This window comes from Homo sapiens, chromosome 16 (assembly GCF_000001405.40).
Source record: "Homo sapiens chromosome 16, GRCh38.p14 Primary Assembly".
NCBI lineage: Eukaryota > Metazoa > Chordata > Mammalia > Primates > Hominidae > Homo > Homo sapiens.
This window is the reverse complement of record NC_000016.10, coordinates 54576525-54586103: the sequence shown is the minus strand read 5'-3', so window position 1 is coordinate 54586103 and position 9579 is coordinate 54576525. Positions and strand designations below refer to the sequence as shown.

Sequence of the window (9579 nt, the reverse complement as noted above, 5' to 3'; positions counted from 1 at the left end):
AGGGCGGTCCTTGGGGCCCCCTCATTCCTGCTGCTGATGACAAGGCGTATGCAAAAGGCACAATTATTCACCCACCAAGGTGACAGAGAAGGCCTCTGCCTGGGAATAGGTTTCCAGCTTCCAGCATTTTCATGTCAGTCGCTGAAGCACTTTGCAGTTTGCAAACAATTCTATGGAGACTTTTTTTTTTTTTAAAGCATTTTGATCATAGCTAGCGATGAAACTTCAAGTGGTGGCCGGCTGCTTGGCCATTGATTCTGAAAGGCCCGTCTTAAGAAGGGTTGCCGCACACACTCCTCCTATCAGCTAGAATATTGGATTTTTTTTTAATCAAATAAGATTCTCCTCTCCCTTCTTCTCCTCCTCCTCCCGCACCCCCAACTCCCGCCTGTTTGGCCTCAAACAAAGAGAAATACGTCAAGCCCGGCCTATTAATTCATACAGATTTGGCATTGTTTATGTTCTCATGTGGACCACATTCCAAAGCATCAAAATAAAACAGCTCGAGTGTAGCTTTCAGCTCCAGAGCTCATGATGTATTTCATTTGCCACGGTCCGAGCCATGTTAACAATGCCTTTCACTTTCTTATGGCCTAAAATGATTTTCTTTCTGCAAGGGCCATTTTGAGAGAGAGAGAGTGGGGACAGAGTGAGAGAGAAAGAGGGAGACAGCGAGGACAGAAGAAAAGAAAACCACTTCTCTTTCCTTTTCAGGGTATCATTTGCAATTTAAAGCTAACCTGGGCAGTGCAGCAACAATGGCACTGCCCTTAAAATGGTCTCGGCCGGGGGCCGCATGCCGAATGAGGGTGATGTCGAGCTATTTAGCTCTTTGTCTTTCCATAATATCTACTTAATGCAGTTCAATAGCAGTGGATTGTTAGCGGCATTAAGGATTCTATTAAGTTCTTCCCAAAGCCCTGCTATTCTCCTCCAGCTGTTGAGAGCCTGGAGATTTCAGCTGGGCGTGGAGTAGAACCTCCCGAAGGCACCTCTGGAAAATGGGTCTGTTCCAGCCTAAGAAAGACCCTAGTTGATTATTTCAGCCCTGGGACTGCAGCACCCTGCTCAGAAGTGGCCTGCTGATAATTAGTGGAGTTGTGTTCAAATCCCACCAGATCCCCAAACTTTAAATCTGGGAGCTCCCTCTCAGAGTCTATCAAATATATAAAATGCTTCCATATCTCACATTAAATATAACCTTCTTTACTCCAAAATTTTTTCTATAAGCATTTTAAGAAGGTGAGTGTGCATGTGTGTTTGTGTGTGTGTGGGTTTTTTTTTTTTTTTTTTTTTTTTTGAGACAGTCTTATTCTATTGCCCAGGTTAGAGTCTAGTGGCATGATCATGGCTCACTGCAGCCTCTACCTCCTGTGCTCAAGTGATCCTCCCACCTCAGCCTCCCAAGTAGCTGGGACTACAAGCATATGTCGCCACAGGCATATGTCACCACACCCGGCTAATTTCTTATTTTTTGTAGAGATAGGGTCTTGCTATGTTGCCTAGGCTGGTCTTGAACTTCTGGGCTCAAGTGATCCTCCTGCCTCAGCCTCCCAAAGTGCTGGGATTACAGGTGTGAGCCTCTGCACCCGGCCATTTTAAGAATATTTCAGTCATTTCCAGTTCTGCTTTAGTGAGAATAAATGATTCATTTTGTTCTTCTGGTTTATTCTTCATTATTTAGATGTCATCAGCCAAGGGTTAGGGTTCAGATGTCAGAGGCATTCGAACCAGAGTGACTCCTTCTTGGGTGAAGGTTAGAAAATGAGGCTGGGACTTGCTGGGCTGCATTCCAGAAAGTTAGGTATTCCTAGCCTCTAGATGTTTACACTTAAGAAAAGAAATTGATCATGTTTACTAAACAGACCCAGACTTGGGAATGTCCTAATATCTCGATATCTTGAGAACAAAGGCATTCCTAATTTTGCTTTAAAGATAATAGTATTGATTCTTGCAAAATATAGTAATTAAGAAAATTAATTCTTTATCACAAATGCTTGTAGCAGAACACATCTCCCCGTGATCTTTTTTATCCTGTTTATATATGAGCATTGTACCAAGGGTGGACGCGTTCCTCCTCTTACTTTAGGGAATATCCCACTGTGTCTATGGAGTAGCTGTTCTTTCACCACTTCTTTTCTTCTTTTTTTTTTTGGAGACAGAGTCTCGCCCTGTCTCCCAGGCTGGAGTGCAGTGGCGCAATCTCCGCTCACTGCAAGCTCCGCCTCCTGGGTTCACTCCATTCTCCTGCCTCAGCCTCCTGAGTAGCTGGGACTACAGGCGCCCGCCACCACGCCAGGCTAATTTTTGGAATTTTAGTAGAGACCAGGTTTCACTGTGTTAGCCAGGATGGTCTCGATCTCCTGACCTCGTGATCCGCCCGCCTCGGCCTCCCAAAGTGCTGGGATTACAGGCATAAGCCACCGCGCCCAGCCCACCACTTTCTTTTCTTAATAAACTTGCGTTTACTTTGCACTGCAGACTCGCCTTGTATGCTTTCTTGCCGGAGATCCAAGAACCCTCTCTTGGGGTCTGGATTGGGACCCCTTTCCTGTAACACAGACACAATCCTACCTCTTTAGATATTTAATTAACCATTTCATAAATTTAATCTTGTGGTTTTTCTTTTTATGTTCTTAACCCAATACTGTAATTTTGTTTTCAGATGGACAATCGTTCCATGGGCCATCAAAAAGTGGGCCTGGGGCCAATAGATAAAATGGCTTCTACCTGCAAAGAGTTTCTCTGATTCTTTGAGTCAGTTGGTGAGCCCTGGGGGGCAGCCTTTATATCTTTATTTAACACTCGAGTCTGACTTCACAGGATTTTGCTAGCCCAAATAAAGCCAGGTGCCTAGGTTTACATTTTTAGGGCCTAGCACCAGACCAGGCACAGAGGGGTACCCATCCCTCCTCCCATGCAATAATAATTTGTTCATGAGTTCTAGAAAGAGTCATCCAAGAATCAAGTCTTTTTATCTTGCCTAGAATTCCAATTCCTTCTTGGGCCAACTCTGTCCCAGCAGACATTCCAGGGGCACCCTGCGGCCTGTTGCAGCAGGAGGATCACAGGCAGAGCAGCCATGGATGGTGTGGCATCCAGGAGGTGGCCACTCCAGCCTCTGGGCCGCTGGCCCCGAATGGACGGAGAGGGAGGCAAGGGGGCGGGGGCTGCGGGAGGGCGAGCCGGGAGGGGAAGGGCCCACACCAGGATTTCACACAGTTGGCTTGAAGAGGCAAGCACTAAGCTGCCTTTTCAACCATGGTAAACCCCGTCCATCTGGCCACCCTAAAACTCTGTTAGCTTGTTCCCCTTGCCCAGGGCTGATTGGACCTCCTGAAGCAGAAGTAACGACTTCAATGGTATAAACCCCGGCCACTTGAGGGTATTACATTTCATTTCATGCTTGACTTAATCAAAACTGGGGAAATGAAATGTACACCTTTTTGATGTTCTTTTCCCTGCTGTTTAAAGAGAAGAATCTTAACCCATTTGATCTTCACATGCACCCGGTAAATGACCAAATATGCCAAGCTGTCAAAAGCAGAAGGCGGCCAGTTGCCAGGGGGTGGCGGGCCACTGGGAAAGCACTTAATGCAGGCAAACTTAAGTTTGGGGCCTAGGGACTTTGTTGCAAATGCAGCATTTCCCCCAACGGGGCTGCAGTTATGAACTTTTTAAAGGCAAAGGTGGGTTGGGGGAATAAACATCATGCTTTGTAGTTGCAGTCCAAAGGGAAGGAATGCAGGCTGGCCTCAGCTTGAGGACACTTGTTCCTACCAGTCTTTCAAAATTTCTCTCAGGAATCGCCTCCTTCTTGAAACTTTTCCACCCTTACCCAAGGACTGGCCAACAGTGGGGGTTTCTGGAGTTACTCCATGTGTCCTTAGGCAATTTACCTAATCTCTCTATGGGGGCTCAATGAACTCCTCTGTAAAATGGGGATGACTATAGTTCTGACCTCATTGGTTGCTGTGCAGGTTGAATGACATCATGTATACAAAGTGCTTAGCCTCATGCCTAGCACATAAGAAGTTATTATCAAATGCAAGCTATTATTATTATTACGATTTTTATTTTGCTGTGGACTGAATTGCATACTCCGCAAAATATGTATGTTGAAGCCCTAACCCCTAATATGATTGTATTTGGAGGTACGGCCTCTAAGGAGGTAGTTAAATGAGGGCATAAAAGTGGGGTCCTAATTCAATAGAATTTGTGGCCTTATAAGTAAAGGAAGAGAGAGAGAAAAAAGTCTCCCTCTCCATGCATGTTCATGGAGAAAAGGCCACATGAGGACAGTGAGAAGGCAGCAGTCTGTAAGACAGTAAGAGAGCTCTCACCAGAAAACCAATCAGCTGGCACCTTGACCTTGGACTTGCCAGTCTCCAGAACCATGAGAAATAAATTTCTGCTAAGTATCCAGTCTACGGTATTTTTTTATGGCAGCCCAAACTGGTTAATACATTAACCTATCAGAGTGCTCTATTCTTGTTTATTTATGTGTCCACCTCCTCAATGAGACTCTAACTTCTTTAGAGTAGATCCCATGATTTGTTGGCTTTGTATACCAGGGCTTAGCACAGTGCCTGGAATACAGTGGATGCTCAATAAGTGCTTGTTAAACAAACAAATGGGTGGACACAGTTGCACATGGCAAGAGAGCCCTGGGCCTTTTCTTTTTTTCCCCCCCCCCATTGTAATAACTTTTACTTATTTATTTTATTTTTTTATTATTATTATACTTTAAGTTTCAGGGTACATGTGCACAGTGTGCAGGTTAGTTACGTATGTATACATGTGCCATGCTGATGTGCTGCACCCATTGACTCGTCATTTAGCATTAGGTATATCTCCTAATGCTATCCCTCCCCCCTCCCCCCACCCCACAACAGTCCCCAGAGTTTGATGTTCCCCTTCCTGTGTCCATGTGTTCTCATTGTTCAATTCCCACCTATGAGTGAGAACATGCAGAGTGTGGTTTTTTGTCCTTGCGATAGTTTGCTGAGAATGATGATTTCCAGCTTCATCCATTTCCCTACAAAGGACATGAACTCATCATTTTTTATGGCTGCATAGTATTCCATGGTGTATATGTGCCACATTTTCTTAATCCAGTCTATCATTGTTGGACATTTGGATTGGTTCCAAGTCTTTGCTATTGTGAATAGTGCCGCAATAAACATACATGTGCATGTGCCTTTATAGCAGCATGATTTATAGTCCTTTGGGTATATACCCAGTAATGGGTTGGCTGGGTCAAATGGTATTTCTAGTTCTAGATCCCTGAGGAATCGCCACACTGACTTCCACAATGGTTGAACTAGTTTCCAGTCCCACCAACAGTGTAAAAGTGTTCCTATTTCTCCACATCCTCTCCAGCACCTGTTGTTTCCTGACTTTTTAATGATTGCCATTCTAACTGGTGTGAGATGGTATCTCATTGTGGTTTTGATTTGCATTTCTCTGATGGAGCCCTGGGCCTTTTCTTATCCCAGAACGGCCACTTAATATGCTCAGTGATCTTGGGCAAGCAGCTTGCCCTCCCTCTCTGTGCCTCAGCCTCTCCATCTGTAACTGGGTTGGACTGGGTGATTCCTGGGGCCTCAGAGACTGTGGGATTCCACCTTTAGACAAAGACTGAGGTGGGGAGAGTGGGGTGGGGTGGGACTAAAATGAAACTGCTGTCACTCCCCATTCCAGACAACAGGATAGTGCTGAAATATTACATTGAACTAACTGAAAGATGTCCCAAAACAATGGACAGAACACGATGCTGGTTTGAAAATGTATGTGTATATGTACGCACACACATGTGTTCATGTTTGAGCTCTGGGAAGTGGGCTGGGTTCTCATCTGGACTCTGTCACTTAATAACTTAATGATATGGGCTAGTTACTTAACTTCTGTTTCCTTATCTGTAAGATGGGGATGAAGTGATGCCTACTAGCCCCATATGATTGTTATAAAGATTAAATAAGTCAATACAGTGTAAGATTCTTAGCACAAGCTCATAATAGCCATCCAAGAAAACATAAGCTATTATTCATTCCATAGAAGCATTAAAAAAAAAGTGTTCAGGCAGGCGTGGTGGCTCACGCCTGTAATCCCAGCACTTTGGGAGGCCGAGGCGGGCGGATCACCTGAGGTTGGGAGTTCGAGACTAGCCTGACCAACATGGAGAAACCCCATCTCTACTAAAAATACAAAAATTAGCTGGGCATGGTGGTGCATGCCTGTAATCCCAGCTACTCGGCAAACTGAGGAAGGAGAATCTCTTGAACCCGGGAGGCAGAGGTTGCAGTGAGCCAAGATCCTGCCATTGCACTCCAGCCTGGGCAACAAGAGCAAAACTCTGTCTCAAAAAAGAAAAAAAGAAAAAAAGTTCAGGCAGCCTAGAGACCAAATAATAACCATGGTCACCTCTCATTTCTGTATTGCATAATTGCAAAACAAAGAAACAAGAGGTAGAATGACTTCTTCTTCTCCTTCTTCTTCTTCTTCTTCTGCTTCTTCTTCCTCTTCCTCTTCCTCCTCCTCCTCTTCTTCTTCTTCCTCTTCCTCCTCCTCCTCTTCTTCTTCTTCCTCCTCCTCCTCTTCTTCTTCTTCTTCCTCTTCCTCTTCCTCCTCCTCCTCCTCCTCTTTTTCTTTTTCTTCTTCTTCCTCTTCTTCTCTTCTTTTTTTTTTTTTAAGAAGGAAAAACAACACAAAGATGGGGGCAGGCCTTATATCCTTTTAGCAGGGAAAGATGCCCAGAATCTGTTGGGTAAGTGAAAGGGTGAGCTCTCTAACAGTCCACATGGTGTGAGCTCATGTTGCCAATAATAATGCAGTATTGGTATATGGGATGTAAAACCTCTGCAAGCCAACAAATGAAACTTCTCCCAGAGCTTATCTCTGAAGCTGAACCGGGACTAGTTGAGGCAAGCAAGGTACCTAGGGCAAAAAGTTTCACTTGCACAACTCTGAGAGTCAACGTCTCCTAAAATTTTGCACCCAGTGTGCATCAATTGCCCCACTCCAATTTTCTGCCTGCTCAGAAGGGTGAGATCCTATAAACTTTCGTTTACTAGGCTCTACATTTCTTCATCATTTTAGTTATTTTGACAATTAACACAAATTTCTTTAATAGAGTGAAGTATCAATAAAGATGTAATGTGATAATAATAACTGTTACTGCAATTATTTACCCATTTGGATCCTGGCCATGGTGTTGCCTGTCCCCGCTCCTGTGCTCATTAGTGTACTCTATGAAATGACACTGGCAGTCAGCCCTTGTTGAGCTCTTGCTGTGTGCCAGGCCCTGTGCTGTCACAGGGATTAGCTCAGCTAATCCTCCTAACAGGCCTTCCATGTAGGGTCCGTTATTATCCCTCTTTTAAGACCAGGAAACAGGAAGTTCAGAGACCCCAAGAGACTTGCTCAGGGTTGCACAGCGAGAAAGAGCCAGAGGTGGGATTTGCACCCTCATAGTGAGATTCCAGAGCCTGAACTTTCAACAGGTACCCCACACTACGCCACTCAGTCTGGATTTGTCCTTTAAATCACATCTTCAACTATCCGGCATTGGGGTCCCCTGGCACTTCTTAAAAATTTCAGTTGGTACTGTGTACAATAGGTCCAGCCTTACTTGCCGAAGAACCCAAAAATCCCACCAAGAAAATCTCAGTCTCTGCTCCACCCCTGGGCTGCACCAAAGTTTCCCCCCCACCTTTTGTTAAGAGGCCTCATTTCTGACTTGATGAAAACATTTGTAATACATAATCAAATGCTGGTATGTTGCAAAGGACAATGCCTTATTTGTTAAATATAAATGAACATGAACACGGGTCTTCAGTGCCAGAAAGGCAAAGGGTTTTGACGCCTTTTCAGTGGCACAGGCTGAGCCCCAGGAAAGAAAGCTGGGAGCCCCTAAAGGGTCTCGTCTAGGACGATGATCGTCCCACAGCTCTTGTGTGACAAGATACATAGTTTCTTTTCAGCAACAGGCAGATTATCGGTTACTATAGTTTCCCTAATGCTCAAATACAGCTCAGGCCTAAGCTGAACAGAATAGGTTAAAAGGTGCCGAAGTTTGGCCCGGGAAACCACATGTTGAGAATCAGACACCAAACAAAGCGAAAAGCACATCTCTCTGGTCTTTGATGTCTTTTCTGAGGGATGTAGAGTGAGAAAAATACAACCGGTGCTCAGGCCAGGGGCTTGATGGGCCCCTGTGACAATGGCCAGCCAAGTGGGAGCTGAGCACAATGCAGAGACAATGTCCCCAATCCCAGGCGTCCCTGGGCACGCCGCTCACAAACACCCCGCTGGAAACCGCATTTCAGCCGAGTTTCTTAGAAAGTTCCTGCCGGCCTCCCTAGCCCAGCTACACTGCCCGCCTTCCAGACCCAGCCCTTTGCAAGTTCCCTCCTGAGAGAGGCGACTTTCTCACTTAAAATGCCCCCAGCCGCCTGAACACGGCCACCGTGAGCACCGTTTTCTGCCTGGTTTTTGAATTGTCCTAGATCTACATAAACACCTTTTCTCCGCCTCTGAAAAGAGATAAGCTTTCTCCCCCTCAAATAATTCATCTCTGCTCTCGAATATTGCTTTGTATATTCCTCGGAGGTGACAGTGTGACGTTTTTCATAAACGGGATTAAATTAACCACTATTTATGCCGGCGATGTGGGTTTCTCCCCTTCTGCCGAGATCTGTTTATTTCATTTTGCTTTTTATTTAAATTTAGGGAGCAAGATAAATGCGCTTTCGAATTTGGAGATCTCTATCCATCACCCGCCGACTGCATCTAGGAAAATAAGTGTGGGGGAGATTATGTGACAGGGAGAGAGAGAGAACCAGAGTCAAGCTCATGGAGTTCTGAATGTTTTTTGGTGGTTGTTGCAGTATTGTGCTTCTAGTTGTCATTAGTTCTTTATAATGTTTCATGAAAAATATCTAATTGTAACAACTGTATTCCTCGAGCGAACATATTCCTTGAATTGAAGCCCTCACAATGGCCATAGGATAACTGTCCTTGAATTTGAGCCCTTTGTGAGCTGTCAATAGGCTTACAATGTGCTGAATTAGCAGGCATATTAATGGGCAGATGCAATAGCAGCCATTCTTCAACCTCAAATCTTCTTATGCAAATACCCCATGAATTCAGTTCAAAGCGCTGCCTTCAAAATGAGCTGAGCTTCCCTCTCAGAAGGGACCCCGGGAGAAAGTGACATGAGAAAAGTTTAGACACTTGTTTTTATAACTGAACATGATCTTGTTATCATAATCTGATACTGGTCACTTGCATGGCTGGCTTGTAGGATTTTAAACCCTTAACAGAGAGAGATAATCTCAGCCTTTGTAGGAGTGTGGACAGAATCCCTGCGTGCAGGGAAGCCGACAGTGAGAAGCACAGTTCGTGCTTTCTCAAACAAAACTTTTCATGATAAAAGCTTTTATCCTATGATAATCACCGGGCAGATTTCAGTGGTATTGGTAAGGCTGGCAAAGGCCAGTGAAGGCGAATTTTTAAAAAATGAAAATAACCAATTCTCAAGACTATTTCCAATCAGTCTGGATCAACTCTTGGAGTCCC

The 9579-nt window shown here is 44.8% G+C and overlaps 2 annotated features.

The window, feature by feature from the left end:
• Positions 563 to 1107: an enhancer, noted in NCBI's record as "OCT4-NANOG hESC enhancer chr16:54618909-54619453 (GRCh37/hg19 assembly coordinates)". NCBI's record gives its function as "activates a minimal SCP1, AML or CMV promoter by ChIP-STARR-seq in naive and primed H9 embryonic stem cells {active_cell/tissue: H9 hESC(naive and primed)}" and the evidence as "EXISTENCE:reporter gene assay evidence [ECO:0000049][PMID:30033119]".
• Positions 2732 to 3640: an enhancer, noted in NCBI's record as "H3K4me1 hESC enhancer chr16:54616376-54617284 (GRCh37/hg19 assembly coordinates)". NCBI's record gives its function as "activates a minimal SCP1, AML or CMV promoter by ChIP-STARR-seq in naive H9 embryonic stem cells {active_cell/tissue: H9 hESC(naive)}" and the evidence as "EXISTENCE:reporter gene assay evidence [ECO:0000049][PMID:30033119]".